The sequence below is a fragment of the Homo sapiens genome, chromosome 6, assembly GCF_000001405.40.
Source record: "Homo sapiens chromosome 6, GRCh38.p14 Primary Assembly".
Lineage (NCBI taxonomy): Eukaryota > Metazoa > Chordata > Mammalia > Primates > Hominidae > Homo > Homo sapiens.
The window spans coordinates 47,473,177-47,495,642 of NC_000006.12; the positions used below are offsets into that span (position 1 = coordinate 47,473,177).

The 22,466-nt window shown below is 38.0% G+C and overlaps 1 protein-coding gene and 1 long non-coding RNA gene across 4 annotated transcripts in view, besides 2 other annotated features; one reads left to right on the forward strand and one right to left on the reverse strand.

Annotated features, from left to right (window-relative positions):
- Positions 4,067–4,896, reverse strand: CD2AP-DT (CD2AP divergent transcript). Its single transcript, NR_187257.1, has one exon. It is a non-coding gene; the product is annotated as a CD2AP divergent transcript (long non-coding RNA).
- Positions 4,375–4,884: a silencer, noted in NCBI's record as "silent region_17275". NCBI's record gives its function as "represses an Ori minimal core promoter by ATAC-STARR-seq in GM12878 lymphoblastoid cells {active_cell/tissue: GM12878}" and the evidence as "EXISTENCE:reporter gene assay evidence [ECO:0000049][PMID:35858748]".
- The window catches only part of CD2AP (CD2 associated protein), a 149,475-nt gene continuing 131,621 nt past the window's right edge, over positions 4,613–22,466 (forward strand). For all 3 annotated transcript variants that reach the window (NM_012120.3, XM_005248976.2, XM_017010641.2), the window contains exon 1: positions 4,613–5,072. In NM_012120.3, coding sequence (NP_036252.1) covers positions 5,069–5,072 — 4 coding nt within the window. In that variant the 5' untranslated portion in view covers positions 4,613–5,068. The remainder of the gene's footprint in view (positions 5,073–22,466) is intronic.
- Positions 5,171–5,897: an enhancer, noted in NCBI's record as "NANOG-H3K27ac-H3K4me1 hESC enhancer chr6:47446083-47446809 (GRCh37/hg19 assembly coordinates)". NCBI's record gives its function as "activates a minimal SCP1, AML or CMV promoter by ChIP-STARR-seq in naive H9 embryonic stem cells {active_cell/tissue: H9 hESC(naive)}" and the evidence as "EXISTENCE:reporter gene assay evidence [ECO:0000049][PMID:30033119]".

A 22,466-nucleotide genomic window follows, 5' to 3' on the forward strand; every position in this document is an offset into this window, starting at 1 on the left:
TGTGGTCTCAGAGCCTGGCCCCTCAAAGACATCCTAGCCTTTTTTTTTTTTTTTTTTGAGATGGAGTCTTACTCTGCCACCCAGGCTGGAGTGCAGTGGCATGATCTTGGCTCACTGCAACCTCTGCTTCCCGGGTTCAAGTGATTCTCCTGCCTCAGCCTCCCAAGTAGCTGGGATTACAGGCACCCACCACCATGCCTGGCTAATTTTTGTATTTTTAGTAGAGATAGGGTTTCGCCATGTTGACCAGGCTGGTCTTGAACTCCTGACCTCAGGTGATCTGCCCGCCTTGGCCTCCCAAAGTATTGGGATTACAGGCGTGAACTACCACGCCCATCCTGGGCTTTGGATTGTATACCTGCCTATTGTCCTGGCTACCTGACTACCCTTCCTTGTCCTTACTGAGAATTCCAATGTACCCTCGAGAGACTCCCCAATCCTTTCTCTTTTAAGGGCAAGGACTTTATTTCTATCTCTATATTTATCATCCAGAAGCTGCTCATTTGTAATGGGTGATCAGAAAAACATCTGTTGAGTTGAATAAATGTGTACTTGTGACTGGAAATTATTTACATAATACCATGTGTATAATTTAACTGCCTGATATTTGAAAATGCAAATGTATTTGTTATTTGAGATTACTTAAAATATGTGACCCTTCAAAAGGAGCTAGCTTTAATATTTGGGAGGAGTAATGCTTCTTGAAAGATATTCCCTTTAAAGGCCTATGAGTCTCCTATGACTTGCCTATCAAATGCCAGCTTTATGACACTAGCATCTGAATAAAGTGCAAATAACACCATTAAAAAGGTCCTTGCAGTTGGCAAGTGGTGATTCATTTAGATGGGTCATCATGTTTTTAATTAACTCTTTCTTAGTATGCAATAATGAAAAGTGCTTAGAGTGGTCATAGGCCTGAGGACATCCCCCAAGTTGCTAGTCGAGGAACAGTATTTTGTTGCAAGCTGAATGGGCCACCAGTTTGAGCAGGGGGATTTTTCAGCTTCAATGATCTCACAGTATAGGCATTCTGATTGAGGTTATTATTTCCTACAATTGTTTTCTAAAGAATGATTTTTAAAATGCAGATTATACATTGATGTAATTTGGGCTTAAGTTTACAGTAAATTAGCCAGGCCAAAACAAGGTAGCAGTAAGAAAACTTCCCAGGAAACCTAGTACTTTTGAATGAGAATAAAGAAAAAATAATTAGTCACAAGATTTTAGCTAAATGAGTGCTTTAAAAATAATATAATTTAGTTAACACTTATTTTTCTTTAGCATAATCTTCTTGGTTATAATAGTTTTTACCAAAAGGAAAGAAGGCAGATGCTTTTTTAAAATATAGATATCTTCAGATAAATTCCTAAGAAAACTTCAGGAAGAAATCATGGCAGTTTAGCATGAATTACGTTGGTCTGAAATTGTGTCATTCACACAGAACTGTAGTGCTCTCCTTGATATCAGATCAACATGTTTAGTACTTGGCAGAAAAAAAGAAAGTGAATGATTAGAGTGGTGTTAGTCCATTTGTACTGGAATACAAAGAAGAATAAGGACAGATGGACAGAAACAAACCTAATCCAGTATAAAGGTAACAATAAAATAAAGGGAAAAGTAAAAGATAATTTGTTTTTAGATTAAAGGAATTTAAATTTAATATATGTGGTAAGTAGAAATTATCTTCTCACCATATTTTCTCTCATTCAACTAATAATTATTGCCAGGGAACGCAATGTTTTGAGCTGCAGACGGTGGTAGCCATATAAAAACGTATAAAACATACTGCCATACCTTGAAGGCCTCTTATAGCTGAGAAGGTAAGATTTAAAGGATGAAAAGAGCTTAAAGGAATAATTAATAACTAATATTTGCATAGCATTCAAAAGTTTAGAAGGTATTTTTACATACCATTTTGTAAGTTTAAAAGTAAATTGCTAGATTTCATTCTTCTGTTAGAATTTCCTTTGGCTTTGTCTTTGGAAAACAACATTAAATTTGGGATTGCGATTACTTCTTAGATTTACTTCAGTTTTCTCAACCATTCTTAGGGGTTCTATTCCCTGATCCTTCCAATTTCTATGATTTGTCATCTCATCATTACCTCAATGGATAATGCCTCTGAATTTGCAAAGTGAATTTAACTTTTAAACTTGTAAAATACGTACATTAATTATGGCAATAACTGATGCTAGAATTTTTTTTTTTTTTTTTTTTGAGACAGGGTCTCACTCTGTCATCCAGGCTGGGTGGAGTGCAGTGGCAGGATCACAGTTCACTGCAGCCTCGACGGCCCTGGACTCAGGTGATCCTCTCACTTCCGCCTCCCAAGTAGTTGAGACCGCAGGCCTGTGCCACCATACCTGGGCTAATTTTTGTATTTTTTTTTTTTTTTTTTTTGTAGAGATGGAGTCTTGCTATGTTGCCCAGGCTGGTCTCAAACTCCTGGGTTCAAGTGCTCCTCCTCCCTTGGCCTCCCAAATTGCTGGGATTACAAGTGTGAAGATCCTGGAATTTCTAGGACATAAATGATTGTAAATGTTTTATCTTGTTGTCAGATCATGTGACCTGACTTCTCAGAAAATATCTACCTTATCTGTGGCCTCCACTTCCTTATCATTCAATTGATAAAACCTTTAATCTGAATTTTCTATTATATATATATTCTGAATATGTAGTTATATATTATATATTCTATTATATATATTCTGAAATTATATTTTCAAAGATGCCCTTATTATCAAATCTGATAGTCTTTATTCCCCCTTCTGTTTTACTTAACTTCTTTTCCATTCTATTCATTGGCCTTTCTTCTTTAAATATTAAGGATTCTAGAGACCTAGAAATTTAGTCTCTAGAAACTTAAGGGCTCTGGGCCTTGAATTTACTACCTATGTATGTGCTTCCAATAGCTTATATTTTTGTCTCCTTTCATGAATCCTTCTTAGCCCATCACCAGCCTCATTCTTCCAAATCGTAAATGGCCTTCCTTATGGGCTGCTTGAGCCACACACATTTCTTAAAGGCTCAGAAATACTCTGTTTGCATATCCACTTCCATTCCTCAGTTCTAGGACTCCTCCAGACTGAATTATTGCCTTCCCCAAGCTTTCGTTCAACTCATACCTTCTCTTTACAGCTTGCTTTGCCCACAGTAATTTATTTTCCTTTAAATTCTCAAGCATTTGACCCTCACTACCTCATACTGTTAATTAACTTTGTGTTCGTATCTCACCCCCCTAGAAGAATGCAAAATCTCTGAGGATTAGCGCTGTACTTTAGCTTTTTATTTTTTTGCTTGGTAGGGGACAACGAACATAATGCTGAACACATATTTGTTACCTAAAAAAGGCACATGTTCCATGATGTCAATGTAATCTTGTTTAGGTGAGTATATTCAACTTTTTTCTTTTATCCTTTTTGGCTGCTGTTTGTGAGTTTGATCATTCTTGTTATAAAATTACCACATGTAACCTTTTGAGAAGCATTAGAAGAATTAAAAGATGGCAAAAGCAGGCCTATAGGAAATAGTGGTAATGGATACGTCCAAGGTTACTACTATGGGCCACTGTGCTCTGCATTGCAAGATTTGTTTGAACATACTCAAGAAATTGAAGTTCAGACAGGTTAATTTATCCAAGGTCCCACAAAAAGTAAATGGCTGTGCTGAGTTTCAAGGACCCATGTCTGCCTGGATCCAAAGGGCAAGTCAGTTTCAGTGCTGGATGACTGAGAATTACAAAATTTCTTGAAAAAGCACTAGGCACAATAGTTGGCGTTCAACAAACGCTCACACACACATCTGCCCTGGAATTGGGTCTACTTAAACAGAAGGGGGAAAAAAAGCTTGCTGAAATAATTATACTTCTTCGTAACTACCAAGCTCATGTTTGACTGACTATAGTAATCCTATGCCCTCCTTCACATTGACGCTAGAAAAAATGCCTGGCAGTATTTCAAATCATGATGCCTATTTTTCTCTCGATCAAGTAACAACTCAAATTATACTTTAAAAAGAAAAAAAGCAAATTATAAAGTTGCATTCAGCTGACAAGAGACTAAAGGAATCTGTGAAACAGAATTTATTTGATGCCTAGGTTTCTCCCTCACCCGACGAAGACCAAATGCTGCTGATCCGTAAGTAACTTCGCAAGGTAAACTGAGGGGCCTGGCAGCATCTGGGCCTCCCTTAAAGGTCGAAATCAAGTGCGCTCGCCCTCCTTCTGTCCGCCTTTTCCCTTTAAGGTCCTCGAGGCTGCTTCGCTGCAGAAAGTAACTCCGCGTCGCCGCCGCGGAAAGTGGGGCAACTTTGCCTATCAGCAGAAACCTTTTGATCCATCTGAGGCGACAAACCAGACCAAACGCCCGCCCAAGCTGTTCCGAGCCTCCGGGGGGAGAGCGAGCCCAAGCTCCTCTGCACCGCTTCCTCATCCGCTCGCTGCACCTGGACGCGGTCGGCGCGCGACCCCCGGCCGTGACGTCACCGCACCTGGCAGCAGCCGTGGGGACCGGGAGAGAGCCCGAACGCGACGGGGCGGGGTGGGGCGGGGAGAACGAGGGCGTTCTCGCGAGATTTGCCTCCTCCCGGTCCCAGCTCCCCGCACCTTCTCGGCCTCTGTCTGGGTCCCCACCTTAGTCTACGGTGTCGCCTTTTCTAACTGCGAGTGCTAAGGAAGAGGCGAGGGGCGGGCTCCGAGGCTAGGCGGGCGCTCGGGGTTGGAGCCGAGGGTCTGGGCAAACCGGTGGGTCCCTCCCCACTGCGGGAGCGGCCAGGGTGGGAAAACCGCGGTCGGGCGGGCGGGGTAGGGCCCTCCCGCCGCCGTGGCTCCTGGGGAGGCCAGGGGTGAGGAGCTGTCGCCGCCTTTGCCTCTGCCTCGAGGGCCGCGCTGAAGAGACTGGTAGGAGAGCGCCGCGGGCGGATGGAGGCGACTCTTCGCCCCGCCTGAGCTCAGGAGGGGCTAGCGCGGAGCGCGGGTCCCGCCTCCAGCCGCGGGAGCGGCCGCGCGAGCCACCACTGGAGGAGGAGGAGGAGGAGCGGACGTCGGCTTCTCCCCGCGGGAGCCCCCAGCATGGGTAAGAGACTCGGGCGCTTCCCGCCGCCCGTCCGGACCTTCCAGACCCGGGGAGGCTGTGCCCTTTCTCGGCCTTCTGGGGAGGCGACTGCGGTCAGCCCCTGAGCGGCAGCACCCCACCCTCTCCATTCTCCCCACCGCCCCTTCTTGCCCTGCCTTCCACCTTGCTCTTCTCACGGAGAAACTGGTGGGAGAGCTCGCGGGTGCTTTCCCTCGCTCTCCCTTCTCCGCCTCTTTTCCTGTTCACCAGAAAGGTGCGGGATGGGGGGCGGGGGCGCCTGGCCACCTCTGCTAACCCCTTGCCCAGCTAAAATCAGACCTGACCTTCCTTCCCTTCCTCATCCCCTTGCTTCCCTCCCCCTCCTCGTGGGATGGGGGAGGGCGATCGAAAAACTTGATAAAGTAGCACTTTCAACTTCTTTATTTTCTGCGAGGCTTTGAATACGTTTAAGGAGAGAGATAAATTTGTTCAAAAACTTTTTTTTTTTCCTGCTGAAACTCGCAAGGGGTGCCTCAAGGACAGGAAAGCTTGAGTATTTGTTTTACTCGGGTTCTACCTAGGCAAGTGTGTTGGCACCTAAGCATTCAGTGTGCTCCCGAGGACTGGGTTTGGACTTCAGTGTTGGATCCTTTGAGGAGCAGTTTCCTGTTTGGAGTTAGACTTCCTTGCCGGAGGAGAGAAAAATACAAGGCCTTATATGTTATTTACTATGTGCTTTATAGTTTTGTTTGAAGTTAGAGAAGGCAGAATGTGTGGCAGTCCGGGTTGAAAAGGAGTTTTGTTAAGTGGTGTAACAATTTCTTTTGATAACAAAGTTCGGTGTGGGCTAGGCATTAAACTAACTCCCTCAATCCTTTAAAAATTAAAAGCAACTTAAGAATAGCTTACAAAAAACAAAACACCCTGTGTCTCTATAAGGCAGAACGTGTTCTGTAAGAGTAAACCCAAGTTTGATTTTTGTAGAGCAAATCAGGAGGACCCTATCACTTTTTGCAGTTGAGAGTTGGTACTGCTTCATATCAACAAACGATCACCGAAATGAATAATTCATGTAATTAACAAATGATTTAGAAGCAGGACGAATACAGACTACTGCTGATGTGGCACCCTCTGTCCACACTTTGCTTTGTGGGGGATGTTTTGAGCATATTGTTTATAGACACTCGCCTAGCTATCCTCTGTTTTCTTAGACTTTTCTAATTTTATGTTCCCTTCTCCACCTCCCTCCTTTCAGGTAACTTTCATACTCAAAAGTGCTCTTGAGCTCAAAAACAGTGAAATAAAACATTTGCTATTTGGAATTTTCAAATGAATTATTTTATAATTGATTAGTTGAGCTTGCAGGGCAATTGTGGGCATATTCTTTTAAGTATGAAATTATAAAATCACTTTAACTGCTTTGGATTAAGATAATACTAAAGTTAATTACACAGTTCTTTTCTGTCTTAAATGGGATGCAGAATAAAATTAAACTACTTTGGATGACCTGGGGATGCAGTCTTGTTTTGCATATAGGGCTTTTGAGCTAAATTCTAAATAATATTTGTTCGCATTTTGAAATTATTTAAATACTTTTTTTTTTTGCTTTGCTTTTGGATGTGCTTGTAACTGATTAGTGTCCCCCATCATCTTTCCTTTTCTAATTTTTTTTTAGAAGTGTGGAAATCATATTCAGGTTTGTGATTCTGCATAGGGGAAAAATCAGTAGGCCGTTACTTAGTGTGTGAGGTCGTCTCTGGAGAAAAGTAAATGTGTACCAATACTTGGACATTGGAATACCTATTTTGATTGTCCAGAGGCTTTTTCTTTGTGATTTATTTGTTGTGTTCTGTTTAGGTGAGTTTTCATATAGACTTGGATATCAATGTTGGTATACTCTCGACTACTTAGAATGTGTTTTGAAGGTATGTTACTGAGGGCATTTGTGGTTAAGTTTTTGTAAAGTGTTTGTGAAACATTTCCATATCAATATATATATTCTTTAAGTTTATTGGTCATGTAATAATAAAATTCCCAAGTTCACTTAAAGGGAGTTTGCTCTTTAATATAAATCTCATTTATTTGGTTTTACCAGCCATCCTTTTTTCTTATGATTTTAGATGCAGCCTAAAATATTTACATGATATTTTATCTAATTTGTCACAAAATGAAAAAATCTGAAATTTTTTTTGTGTGTAAGATAATTTGGATGCCTATTAAATGGTGGTTCTTAAGTTTAGGTGGTACAGCTAGAGAGTTAAAAGCATGGGCTCTGGACAGAGACTACTTGAGGTCAAATTCTCTTCTACCTACTGGCTGTGTGACTGAGCACATTACTTCTCTGTGCTTCAGTTTCTCAATCTATAAATGGAATAAAATATCAACCTCATAGGTTGTTAGGAGGATTGAATGAGTTACTACTTGTAAAGTGCTTAGAACACTGCCAGTGCTGGCGGTGGTGATTTTCATTTTCAAATGATTTCCCTAATTCTTGTACCAACTTGGGAAAAAAAAAATCTCAATTTTTGACCTTTGTTAGAAGTAGGATATTTTCTTTAAATAAAGGACCAGAGGGATGAGATGATTTTGCACTAAGGCAGAAATTGAATTTTATGTGATATAACCTTACAGAAACCACATAGATACTTTTTTCAATGTTGGATGTACTGTGCGAAAGTCCATTATTGGTAAGAGCTTTAGTTGCTTAGGAAAAACTCTTAAGTGGGATGACTACTAGTAGACTTATTTGAAGTTTATGTTTTTAGTGTCTACATTTGTTAAATGTGATAAAATGCCTATTGAGAAGTTTGAGGTATTCTGTGTGAAAGAATTTGGGAAGAGCTCTAGGGAGACAGATAGGCAGTGCTTATTTTTCTTATTCCAAAAATACAGATCGGCATTTTGGAGCAGAATTAGGCAGAAAGCAAATGGCACAAAGTGTCAGAGCATTTCTAGAGCACAAAAAAGGAATATTTGTGAATTTTTATTTTTGGAAGAGTAAGCAGACTTCTAAGGGCAGAATTTCTCTTTAATAATTTTAGATAAGGCGGTGAACTTTTTAGTTTATTTTATAGGCTCTCGTATATAAAACATATCAGTCATGTGGTGGTGTTTTTTTGTTTGTTTGTTTGTTTTTTTGATGGAGTTTTGCTCTGTTGCCCAAGCTGGAGTGCTGTGGTGCGATCTCGGCTCACCGCAACCTCCGCCTCCTGGGTTCAAGGGATTCTCTTGTCTCATCCTCCTCAGTAGCTGGGATTACAGGTGTGTGCCACCATGCCCAGCTAATTTTTGCATTTTTAGTAGAGACAGGGTTTCACCATGTTGGTCAGGCTGGTCTCGAACTCCTGACCTCATGTGATCTGCCCGCTTTGGCCTCCCAAAGTGCTGGGATTACAGGCGTGAGCCACTGCACCTGGCCTCGTGGTGGTTTTAATAGACAAATTTGTGGTTGGTTTAGATGATATATGCACTTCTATAATAGAGTGATTTCTTTATGTTACTTTGTTGTACTGTTTGGAGAAAATATTTTAAAAATTTTTATTTATATGTTATTTATTTACTTATTTTTAGAGACAAGGTCTTGCTCTGTTACCCAGGTTGGAGTTCAGTGGCATGATCATAGCTCACTGCAGCCTCAAACTCTTGCCTCTGCTTCCCAAGTAGCCAGGGCTACAGGTGCACACTACCACCTCTGGCCTAGTTTAAAATTTTTTTGTAGATACAGGCTCTCCCTGTCTTGCCCAGGCTAGTCTCAAACTCTTGGCCTCAAGCAGTTCACCTGCTTTGGCCTCCCAAAGTGCTGGGATTACAGCTGCACCACTGTACCTGGCCTGGATAAAATCTTGATTCATACAGATAAGTAGTTGCAAATGGAAATTGCATGCTAATGGTTCACCTTTCTGTATCAGGATTTACTTCAATTAAACTACAGAGCATGAAAAAACAATATTAGGAAATTTTTGTTTCAAAGTTGAATCACTGGCAAAAGTAATAATTCTTTTCCTTATTTAAGTACTCATCAGATATTTTTTGAGGTTTCAAAATTTGAGTAGTTTAAATTTTGTAAAATCACATTAAGGCTGAAAATTCACATTTATAATATTTTATAGTTTCCTGTAGAAATGAGCCGGAAGTTTGCTTTGTTTTTTTTGTCTTTTTTTTTTTTTTTTGAGATGGAGTCTTGCTCTGTCGCCCAGGCTGGAGTGCAGTGGCGCGATCTCGGCTCACTGCAACCTCCGCCTCCCGGGTTCAAGCAAGTCTCCTGCCTCAGCTTCCCGAGTAGCTGGGACTACAGGCACGTGCCACCATGCCTGGCTAATTTTTTGTGTTTTTAGTGGAGATGGGGTTTCACCGTGTTAGCCAGGATGGTCTCGATCTCCTGACCTTGTAATCTGCCCCCCTCAGCCTTCCAAAGTACTGGGATTATAGGCGTGAGCCACCTTGCCCAGCGTGTATCTTTCTAATTGAGGGATTTGCAAACTAAAATGACATCATATTAACTAAAATCTAATTTTTAAAACATTTAAAATAAATAGAAAACTCAAAGTGCTTCATTTTTATTTATTCATAATTCAGATCTGTCAGAGAATCCTGTCAGAGAATATCTTCCCCTGTTATTAAATATATTTTGAACGATAAAAATGCTTACTTTAATGTATATAAAAAATTGTAATTGTGTCAAGGGCTTGCAGATAGGTAGAGAAAGAAGTATAATGATTATTCATTTGGGTGAGAATTGGGTGGAGCTGCAGACCTGTTTCTTAGGTAAACTGATGAAGCAAGTTGTGAAAGATCTGAAAGTTTTCAGATTTTATGTTCAGAAAAGAAAGAGCAAATAAAAACTAGTAAGATGTGATTGAAATTTAGGTAAATTGGGTAATTATTATGATGGAGCTGTTACTGCTTAGTTGTAGCATTTGATATCTGACTGCTATTCAGATTTAACACAAGCAGGATTTGGGGACCAAATTATCTCAGCAGTCAGGCAGTCAGTCTTTCTAGATGGGGGAGGCGACAGAACAGTAGTTTAAGAAATCTGGATGGAGGTCTATATGTGCCTACAGTCAGCTTGTCAGCATCAGGGATATGTTTGGCAAAGTGCAGCGTGTACATGTATGTGGAACAGGCCTTTGGGAGTGGTATGGTGGCTGGTAGCAGGCACTAGGTAGAGATTCAGACTGGCATCTTGGGGGAAAAGGGAGGAAATGGGGTCTGGCAGTAGGCCTTGAAAACCTAGCCACAGGGAAACAAAATGAGACAGGGTCCAGATTTCTTATTGGAGAAATACAAGGTGGGTATTTGCAGGAACAAAAGTGAGCTTAGTTATTGGAATTACTTAGGATGAACCAAGAGGTAATAACAAGACACTGAGCCCCTAAGCTTATGTATTTTCTGTCCTGGGACTACATTAGTAGTCTACATTAGTAGCTGAATCTGTAAGTGTGGTATGAGTAGTCCAGAATTACTGGGGTGAATGGGATCTTCTCTCTAAGTGCTGCAGGATATTCCCTGGGTATAGATTGCCACCCCTTCTGTTTATTTGGTCCCAGGGATTTGATGTGCCTGTTTTTTTTTTTTTTTTTTGCTCCTGTCTCTTTTTCACCTAGGTTCCTTTTCCTTTCATACCCAATGTGAAGCAGATTACAAAACCTCAGCATATCCTTCTGTTTCAGAAACAAGTACACAATCCTTCAGGGTGTTAAGCAGTTATAACTGCAAATATAATAAATGACCAAGTAAGGCAGAAGAAACTTGAAAGTATTAGTAATTATCAGTCTCTTGGTTTCACTGAAGTGGTGGTTGGCTAGTTATTAGAAAGACCTTTTTTGTTGTTGCTTTTTAAATTTTTTTTTGGTAATGTGTACCTGTCTTTGGCAATACTCCCTCATACTCCTCCCAGCTTTTGTTTATTTTGGCTTACGTTAGGTAGATCTTTAGACAGTAGCTCACAGTAGAGACATTTATTATGTCTCTTAAACAGATAAAATTTTATTGGGACTTCACTAACCTGAGACCATGCTGTACTCATTTTTGAATCATAACCTTGGTTTTAACCACAAATGAAGTAGGCATTTTCCTTCTGGGCTCCTAAATGTTTTCTTTGGACTAAACTTGATATTACCTCTTTTTTTTTTTTTTGTTATGTTTTGGTTTTTGTTTCTGAAGGTCTCAGCTTCCTAGATGTTCTACACTCTTCCTGACCATTTTCACTGAACCCTATTTGATTTACTGAAAGCATATTTACTAATTGTTTGCACTTAAAGGTGCTTTTATCCTAGAATAAACAATGCTTTTAAAACAATTCACTATTCTAAATTGATACTGGCTTAAGATGTTGTTCCAGTGTCAGGTATTGTTATCGATTTTTTCTTTCCTAGAACCTGTCCTTTCCAGTGGCTCCAGTAGACTTGTATTTTATAATCTTTCAAATATTATGTAGCTTGTTAAACTTCCCATCATGATCTTGTTCAGTTTCTCAACTCATTTGCAAAAGAGATGACTAGCATGGGAGCCTGGATTCCAGTATCTGTTTTAGTGCCTTATTAGTGCCTCTTAGCTTAGGTTCTTTTTGATGATTCAGCGTCCAGATAATTCCAAGGGAGTGACTGTAATCATTAGGGGTTTCTAGTAGAATGCAATCATGAGCCCCTTAGGAATGTTTTGGTCAATAATAAACCACACATAGGGTGGTGGTCCCCTAAGATTATAATGAAGCTAGAAAATTCCTCTTCCCTAGTGAGTTGTAGCCATCCCACACTATAGTAGTGCAACGCGTTACTCACTGTGTTTGTGATGATGCTGGTGTCAACAAACCCGCACTACCAGTTGTATAAAAGTATAGCATGTACATACATTTATATGTAGTACATATATTGATAATAAATGGCTGTGTTACTGGCTTATGTATTTACTATGTTTTTTAATTGTTATTTTACAGAGTACATCTTCTACTTATTAAAAGAAGTTAACTGTAAAACATCCTCAGGCAGGTCCTTCAGGGGGTATTCCAGAAAAAGGCATTGTTATCGTAGGTGATGACAGCCCTATGCACGTTTTTCACCAGTGGGATGAAATATGGAGATGGAAGACAGTGATATTGATGATCCTGATCTTTGCAGGCCTAGGCTAATGTGTGTTTGTGTCTTATAAGAAAAAGGATTAAAAAAGAAAGAATTTTTAAATGGAAAAAAGCTTATAGAATATGAATATAAGGAAAGAAAATATTTTTGTACAACTATACAATGTGTTGGTGTTGTAAACTAAATGTTATTACAAAAAAGTTAAAAAATTTATAAAGTAAAAAGTTATAGTAAGCTAAGGTTAATTTTGAAAGAAAATTAGAAAGAAAGAAATAAAAAAATGTAGTTAGCTTTAGTGTATGGTGTTTATAAAATCTATAGTAGTGTATACTAATGTCCTAGGCCTTCACATTTGCTCACCACTCACTGACTCACCCAGTGCCATTTCCAGTCCTGTAATCTCTATTCATGGTAGGTACACCCTATGTAGGTGTACCATTTTTATTACTTATACTGTATTTTTACTATACCTTTTTTATGTTTAAATATACAGATACTTAACCATTGTGTTACAGTTGCCTACAGTATTGAGTACAATAGCATGCTGTACAGTTTTGTAGCCTAGGAGCAATAGGCTATACCCTATAGCTTAGGCATGTAGTGGGCTGTACCATCTAGGTTTAAGTACACTCTATGATGTTCACACATGGACCAAATTGCCTAATGACACATTTCCTAAGATGCATCCCCATTGTTAAGTGATGCATAACTGCACTTTTAAGTGTGGTGATAGTTACAGTTAACACCAATATTAAGAAAAAGGGCCTGTCACAAGGTCACATCATCAAGCAAAGAAGCTGCTGGTGAGAGTTTAATCAATCAGTATTTTCCTTAATGTGAGGAATGTGATTAATGTCATGTTAAATGCTTGGGGGTTTAGGATAAATAAAAGTTTTGGTGCCTTGAGTAGTTTACAAGTGTTAAGGATTGGGCATATTATTAGAATCACATTTTTGTTTTAAACTTCTCACAACCCCTGGGTTCTGACATAAATGCTTCTGCCTCTCCCTCCCTCCAGTTTTTGATGAATGTCATGAATGTGTTGGGATGGCTTATGTGATAGGAATAAGACAACATAATAACAATGAAAGTTAGTATGTGAATCCATTAGAAAAATAAACGAGAGAGAGAGTATAGGGTCAGTGTCAGAAATGTTAAAATGTAGTAGGAGAAGCATATGGAATATTAGAATATAGATTCCTGCACTGAAGGAAATGGGATTTATTCATCTCTCATTAGTTTGACCAGTGATGATATACTGAGTACTGGCAGTAGTTAAGGTATTTTTTCCTCCACTTCTGGCAAAGAGTCTTTAGAATGAAGTAAGCCTTCTCTTGAGCTGATCCTTTCAGATGTGTACTTTTACCTGAAATATTAAAACTGTCTTATCCTTCTTACTGTCCTATCAGTGTTCCAATAATGAAGAGTCTGGAAATTTACCTAACATCTAGACTGACTTTAAAAATGTCATTCCTGGAGCATTTATCACGATTATTGTAATAATAAAGGGCCACAGTGTTTTGGATTGTAAATGTAGAAGCTCATATACTGTATTTGTAAAATTGAGACTACATAGTCTTGGTTAGAGTGTTTTTGGGGGACATTTAAAGTTGGTCTTTTAAATGTATATACTATTCTCTAGGGATTTTCTCATTCTTTGTGTTAGAAACAACTTTTGGTTTATTTAGAAGTACGTTCTCCTGAGATCCAAGTTTTGCATTTAACTTTAATTAAAAATTCCTGTTGTGCTGTAGCAGGTTGCAGTCTGATGAGTATTTTGCCTGACTGTTTTGGTGTATGTGTGGGCATTTGTGCACAGCCATTTAAGAGGAAGAATTCATTTTTACTTACCTACTAATTTGGCCATTCTTAACAAACATATTTTAGGAAGCAGATCAAAACAATTTTTTTAATGATGAAAATAAATTTGTTAAATTTTCAGAATGCGTGTCAAATGGAAATAAAAGGCTGTGTTTCAAATCTCAAGTTAGCCCTTTTTTCTCACAAAATTATTCTAAATTCCTATATGGATTATATATTACAAAATGCAGTTGAACTTATGCTTACAACTTCATAGTTTAAAACTTAAATAAAAACTTCTTGGCCAGGCGCGGTGGCTCACGCCTGTAATCCCAGCACTTTGGGAGGCCGAGGCGGACAGATCACAAGGTCAGGAGATCGAGACCATCCTGGCTAACACGGAGAAACCCCGTCTCTACTAAAAATACAAAAAATTAGCCGGGCATGGTGGCGGGCGCCTGTAGTCCCAGCTGCTCGGGAGGCTGAGGCAGGAGAATGGCATGAACCCGGGAGGTGGAGCTTGCAGTGAGCTGAGATCGCGCCACTGCACTCCAGCCTGGGTGACAGAGCGAGACTCTGTCTCAAAACAAACAAACAAACAAACAAACAAAACAAAACTTCTTTGTTATTCTCTTAGTGTGTAAATGACCTTACTTGATCTGAGCTCATTGATGCTGGAGACCATATCACTTATTTTATTGTATTTACAAAATTTAACACTTGTATTGACTAGCAGAAAATTAGGAGCCTGCTATGTATCCACTAAGTCTGATTCAGTAATACTTTAATTTGGAGTAATTGGGTAGAGAGGGCCAACCTAACAATACAAAATTTAAATATATTGAAATATATCCACCTAAAACAGACTAATAGGATGTTGCCTAATGAAATTACTGTTTCAAGATAATGGATGAGATCCTTTTTTTTTTTTTTTTTTTAAGAAATAAACTCTTTAATTCTTTCTGTGTGGTTCATTGAAGCTCTTAAGTCCCTTTAATAGAGAATCAATAATCAGTGATGTTAAGCATCTTGTCAGGTGAATCTGCTGATTACCTACTCCGTGTGTATAAATAAAGGGAAAGTTTGGCAGAGAGAGACATTTCTGTATGAGTCTCCAATTTAACATGTTAAACACATTTAGGCATAAAGGCTTAATTTTTAGCTTAAAGAGTTTGTTCAAAATAACTTAATGTTTGAACTGTAAAATTATAAAATCTTTAAGGTAGGTGTTGTGAAGCAAGTATACATATACTTTGAGACATACTGAGTTGTTACATATGTGTAATTTTAAATTTTCTAGTAGCTACATTTAAAAAGGAACATGTGAAATTAATTTTAATAATATTTTGAATGTATGTTGGTTTAAAGAAAGTACATTATTTCATAATGTATTCAGTATAAAAAGTTATTAATGAGATAGCTTACATTTTTTCTTATATATGAAAGAAATCTTGACATCTGATGTATATTTTACATTTATATAACATTTCAGTTTGGACTAGCCACATTTCAAGTGCTCAATATTTTTTGATTATAAGAATTTACTGAGGCAGGAGGATTGCTTGAGACTAGTAGTTTGAGACCGGCATGGGCAACAAAGCAAGACTCCATCTCTCCAAAAAAAAAAAAAAAGAGATAGCCAGGTGTGGTGGCATACCCCTGTAGTCCCAGCTACTTGGGAGGCTGAGGTGAGAGCATTACTTGAGCCTGGAAGGTCGAGGCTACAGCGAGCCATGATTGTGCCATTGCACTCCAGCCTGTGCAACTGAGTGAGTCTTTCTTAAAAAAAAAATTAATAATTTAGGTTTTTGTTTTTTGTACGTGTTTATTTTGGGTGGATGCTTAGAACCATGGAGAAACTCAAGTGATTACTTCTGAATTTTTAATGATTCTTACTGCTGCTGTTCTTACAAGTTCTTGTAGTTGTCTATATAACTTAATTATGTTTTAAAAATCTTTAGGTTGGTCCTCAGGTAGTGAGTTATCTCGATTGCTTAGTCAGTTACAGATTGAACTTTTTTCTACTCTTCCCTGCTTTTCATTACTGCACTCAACTAGTTTTTTTTTTTTTTTTTTTTTTTGAGAAGTCTCGCTCTTGTCCCCCAGGCTGGAGTGCAATGGCATGATCTCGGCTCACTGCAACCTCCACCTCCTGGGTTCAAGCGATTCTCTTGCCTCAGCCTCCTGAGTAGCTGGGATTACAGGCACCTGCTACCACGCCTGACTAATTTTTGTATTATTATTTTTTTAGTAGAGATGGGGTTTCACCATGTTGGCCAGGCTGGTTTCGAACTCCTGACCTCAGGTGATCTGCCCGCCTCGGCCTCCCAAAGTGCTGGGATTACAGGCATGAGCCACCGTGCCCGGCTGCACTCGACTAGTTTTTTAAAAAATAAAGGTCTGTTTGGAAACTGAGGGAAGTTCTTACATAGCAACTTCCCATTTTTTGGTAATTTTAAAATTCATTTTCAGTTGATACTTAGTTACTAGCATTTAGGGAATTCTTACTATGCTAGGCTGAATGTACGGAGCATTCGGTTCCCCACAAGAATATGAGGTAAAACATTAGTCTTCCCATTCTTCAGGTTCAGGAAATGAAGTTAGAGGGATTGTTACTTGTCCAAGTCAGAGGTAAGATGTGGAGGAGACAGAATCAAACTTTCATTGTTCTCATTTTAAAACTCGTCCTCTTAATTATATCTTAAAACATTTTGAGAAGGAAGATTGTTGAGTTAAACAGAGCAAGTAATATGACCTTCAGACTCTCCTAGTGTGGTTTAAAAAATAAAGAAATTTAAATATTTATCTTCTAAAAACTGTGGATTGGTATTCGTTTGAGTAACTATTTTCTCTAAAGAGACTTTTTTTTTTTTTTTTTTTTTTTAAAGGAACAGGGTCTTGCTCTGTCGCCTAGGCTGGAGTATAGTGGTACTATCATAGTTCACAGCAACCTTGACCTCCTGGGGTCAAGTAATCCTTCCACCTTAGTCTCCTGAGTAGCTGGGACTAAGGCATGTGCCATCGCACCTGGCTAATTTAAAAAAATAAACAAAAACTGTAGACATAGGGTCTTGCCATATTGCCCAGGCTGGTCTTAAACTCTTGGGCTTCAAGCAGTCCTCTTACCTGGGCCTCCCAAAGTGCTGGGTTTACAGGCATGAGCCACTATGCCTGGCCTCTTAAGAGACTTTTAACAAATTTTAACTGTTACACATTGGTCTTTTACTTACATACCCAAAAGTTTTCCTAGAGTTGTTTTTTGGTGAGTTCTATAAAACTTTATGATGGCTATTCATATGGTATTTTTTTTGATCTGCTTGAAACATGCTTAAAAATAATTTCTAGTGTTTTCTTGAAGTTAATAGTGGGAAGATGAAGAATGATAATATTTAATTGAATTTTCCAACTTGTTTGCTCTTTAGATTTTTGTATGTTTTTTGTTTTTAAGATTTATTATTTTAGGACAAGTGATTAATCACATGTACGTGGTAATTTCTTTGTTTTTAGAACTGTCTCAGGTAATCAGTCTTTGAGATAAAAATCTTTTTTGTTTTTTAAACTTTGATTAAGTTTTTTTGGTGGATATCTGTCACTTATTCTAATTTAGTAACATTAGGAAGAATATAATACTGTGTAAAAATTTCCTTATATCAAATTTCCTTCTCTTTTTCTCTTTGGATATGTGCTAAGAGTGTATTGTACTATGCAAACCTTTGTATGCTATTTGAAGTACAAAGAGGAAGGGTGGGTTTTGTGTGCAGTTTGTTCACTATCTTAAGAATGACTAGATTTACTTATCTCTGTTGAAAAACATGTAAGAAATGCTGCTTATCATTCCATATTTAACAAGCTTGAGAAAATAAATGACGGAATTTCTAATATATAATTAAAAGGACTTTAGGATGATATTGTGCTTTTTATTAGTAGTATTTTGACTAATGGATCTGGTACCTAACTTTAGAGGACTTAAATAATGAAATGTTATTAGTTAATGACATTAAGCAATGCTAATCAGTTTTGCGTTTCTCTATTTATGGTAAAGAATAAATATTTCGTTCTGGGAATAATTTATGGTAAAGCCTTTTTGTTTGTGGTAAGAAATACTTAGCCCTGGGAATAAAAAGTAAATACATATATTTCTTTCTTCCTGATATGTGTGTGTGTATGTGTGTGTGTGTGTGTGTGTGTGTGTGTGTGTAATATATATAAAATCAGGAAATAAGTGGAACCATTAAAGTATTTTCATCATATTCCTACTACTTTGAGAGTAAAGCTTGTAATTTTTTATCTTATACTGAAATATATTTTTGTTAATTTTTGTGTAATTTTTAATATTTTGTCATCTGCTATAATAAAGGTTAACACTCAATAGTATACTGTGATCAGTGATATAATATAGAGAAGGTTAATTTGACAGACTCAGTTAGATGCCATTGTGATATTTATCTGTATTGTGTTGACCAGAATTAAAAGTAAACATTCTGTAGTCAATGCCCATACAACTTATGCCTATTTGGAATTTGTGTAAATTGTTTATTTTTTTGAAGTGATTTTTTATTGTCAAAATAATGCATATTTATTAAAGCAGACTAGTAGAAAATCTTTTATAATATTGCCACCAATATTTTTGCATGTAATAATTTAAAAAAATTATGGATTTTAAGATTTTTAAGCTTGATCTTCAGATATCCTTTTTGTTTAAATACTGATTTTTTTTAAAAAAGTTATTAACAACTAGTAAACCCATTAAAAGAATACCTCACCAGCACCCCCAAACAGAACCAAGTTAAGCAAAACTTTTTTCTTTTTAGGTAAGGATTAAGTTCTTAGAGTTTGCTGTACTTCATTTTAAGTAATGTACTTTACTTTCTTTTACCTGTTTTCAGTCGAGATTTCCTTTTTTTGGTTCTTATAAATGCTTTTAATTCATTGTGTTGTTTGTTGCAAGTATTTACTGTCTGTTTCCAGTTTAGTTACTTTGAAACTTTGACCGTTTTACTTTAAGTTTAGAAATTTCTCCTCTCTACACAGTTTTGTTACTAATTTCTATCATAATCCCTTCAAGCTGCTATGACAAAATACCTTAGACTAGGTAATTTATGAACAACAGAAATTTATTGCTCACAGGCTGGAAAGTCCAGCATCTAGGCACTGGCAAATTTGGTGTCTAGTGAGGAAAGTTCAAAGATGGTGCCTTTTTGGTACATGGAAGGCTGGGTTTGGTGGCTCACACCTGTAATCTTTTTTTTTTTTTTTTTTTTTTTGAGACAGGGTCTTGCTCTGTTTCCCAGGCTGGAGTGCAAATGTGTGATTGTAGCTCACTGCAACCTCAAACTCCTGGGTTCAAGTGATCCTCCCCCGTTAGGCTCCCAAGTAGCTAGGACTATAGGTGCTGCCCCACACACCTGTTGTTATTTTTTGTAGAGATAGCATCTTGCTATGTTGCCCAGGCTGGCCTTGAACTCCTGGCCTCAGGTTATCCTCCCGCCTGGGATTACAGGTGTGAGCTACTGTGCCTGGCCTCTGTGTGTACATTCTTGTTTATGCTTTTTCCTTATTGTTTTAATAAATGTAAGGTCTGTAGAGATACTCTGTCTTTTATTCCTGATATAAGTAATCTGGGCCTTCTGTTTTTCCCCTTGGTCATTCTTTCTAGAGATTTATTGATTTTATTGATGTTTTCAAATAACAGTTTTTGGTTGCATTATTTTTTTTCCATTTTTCTGTTTTCTTTGAGTGTTTTATATGATTCCATTTTATGTCCTCTTTTAACATTCAATTATACTTAATTTTTATTTTTAGTGCTTGCCCTAGAGTTTGCAGTATACATTTATAACTAATGTTAAATTCAGCTTTAAATAACACTGCAACACTTCATGTGTAGTGCTGGTACCATAGAGTATTCCTTATTCCTCTTGTCCCTTAAGACATTGATTAATTTCATCTATTCATATGCTATAATCATGCAATACATTGTTACTATTATGACTTTTAAGCAGTTATCTTTTAGATCAATTAAGAATAAAAAATGTATTTTGTTTTATCTTCATTTATTCCTTCTATGCTTCTTCTTCATATTGATTTGAGTTTCTGACCTGTATAATTTTCATTTTCTCTGAAGAACTTCCTTTAACATGTCTTTTGTGTTGGGTCTGTTGGCAATGAATTCTTGTTTTTGTTTGAAAAAGTCTTTATTTCTCTTTCCCTTTTAAGGATAATTTTACTAGATACAGATTTCTAGGTTGGTGTTTTTTTTTTTTCCAATGCTTTAAATATTTTATTCCATCCTTTCTTGCCTTCATGTTTTCTGATGAGAAGCCTGCTGTAATTCTTATCCTTGTTCCTCAATAGGTAGGGTGATATTTTGTGATGGTTTCTTTAAAGATTTTCTCTGCCTTTGATTTTCTTCCATTAAATGTGATACATCTAGGTGTAGTTTTTTTTGTTTGTATCCTAATTTTGTTCTCTTAGTTTTCCGGATGTGTGGTTTGGTGTACCTTATTATTTTTGGAAAATTCTTAGCCATTATTATTTCATATATTCTGCTCTGTTTCCCCATCTTCTGGAATTCCAATTACGTGTGTTTATACCTCTTGAAGTTTTTCACAGTTCTTGGATGTTCTGTCCTGGGATTTTTTTGTTTTTTATAATTCTTTTTCTCTTTGCATTTCAGTTTGGAAAATTTCTTTTGACCTCTCTTCAAGCTTACTGATTCTTTCCTTGGCTATGTATAGTCTACTGATGAATGCATCAGTGTTGTCGATTATTTGTTACAGTGTTTTTGATTTCCAGCTTTTCCTTCTGTTTCTTTTCTAGAGATTCTATGTGCTTACCATATCCATTTTTTTCTTACATGTTGTCTGCTTTTTATGTTATCACCCTTAGCATATTAATCATAGTTATTTTAAATTTCCTGTCAGATAACTAAAAAAAATGTGTTGTATCTGAGTCGGGTTCAGATGCTTGCTTTGTCTCTTTAGACTTGCTTTTTCTTGCCTTCTTAGCATGACTTGAAATTTTTTGAAGGCTGGATATGTCATATTAGGTAATAGGAACTGCGGTAGTTAAATCGTTAGTGTGAGGATTTATATTTATCTGCCTAGGAGTTGGATTGTGTTTAATATTTGCTCTAGCTGTAGGTGCCAGGGGGTTCACATTCCTGTAGTGTCTTTGTTTTTGTCTTCCTTGCTTTCTTTGGGTTTCCCTAAGAACTCTTTCTCAGATAGAATCTGTATCTTGCAGCTTTTTCAGCTGTAAATACTGGAGCCTCATTGATATGGTGGTAGCATGTGGGAAAGGGGAAATATACTATTATAATCTTAATTATTAAATCTCTGTTTTTTAGTGGATCGATGTCCTGGAGCTGTGGAGTGGACTTAAATCAGGGAAATTCCCATTCCTAGGTGGTATACAGCCCCTGACAGTCTTTCCCTTGGAGTGTAGGCCTTTGTTACAGAGAATACTCAGGTTGTATTTCGCAGTGGTTACTTTTCTTTTCCTCCTTGCCAGAACTATAAGGGGATCCTTCTTGGCTCTTTACTGTGAGAATCTGGCAGTACCATAAAACCCACAATAGTGTGGGGACTCCCCCATAGGACAGCATTCTCCTAGGAGTTTCCCACTTTCATGCTATTCCACAGTCAGCCTCCAGCAAGTCATCAAAATTACCATTTAAGTGTTTGTACTGGATTGAATTTTTATCCTCAAAAAAGGTATGTCTGAGTCTTAGCCCTTCATACGTGTAAATGTTACATTATTTAGAAATAGTTGGCTGGGCATGGTGGCTCACGCCTGTTGTAATCTGAGTACTTTGGGAGGCCAAATTGGAGGATCACTTGAGCCAAGGAGTTCGAGACAAGTCTGGGCAGTATAATGAGACCATGTCTCTACAAAAAAATTTCAAAAAATTAGCCATGCATGGTGGTGCACCCCTATAGTCCCAGCTACTCAGGAGATTGAGGTGGGAGGATCACTTGAACCTGGGAGGTGGAGGCTGCAGTGAGCCGAAATTACTCCATTGCACTCCAGCCTGGGTGACAGAGTAAGGCTTTGCGTCAAAAAGAGAGAGAGAAATAGTCTTTTCAGGTGTGATTAAGGATTTCGAGATGAAGAAATTCTTAATAAATTGAATGATTGGTGTCCTTGGAAAAGAGTAAGGAGAGGGTGAGATTTGAGATGGAGACGTAACAGTGGAACAGTCACGTCAAGATGGAGGTAGAGGTTGGAGTTACGTAAGCAAAGGAACACTAAAAATTGCTGGCAGCCACCAGAAGCCAGATAGGGGCATGGAGTGATTCTTCAGAGTCTCCAGAAAGAACTAACCCTGCTGATACCTTGATTTTGCCCTCTCGCCTCCCGAAAGAGGAGAATAAATTTCTTTCAAGCTACCCACTTTGTGATGGTTTGTTACAACTGCTGTAGGAGACTACTAGTGTTCCTGCTAATTTATGGCTCCAGCAGCTTCTACTCTAGGTAATAAATAGATCTCGTCCGTGACTCTCTGGCTTTACCTGCCTCCTGTCTGTATCTTTAGGTG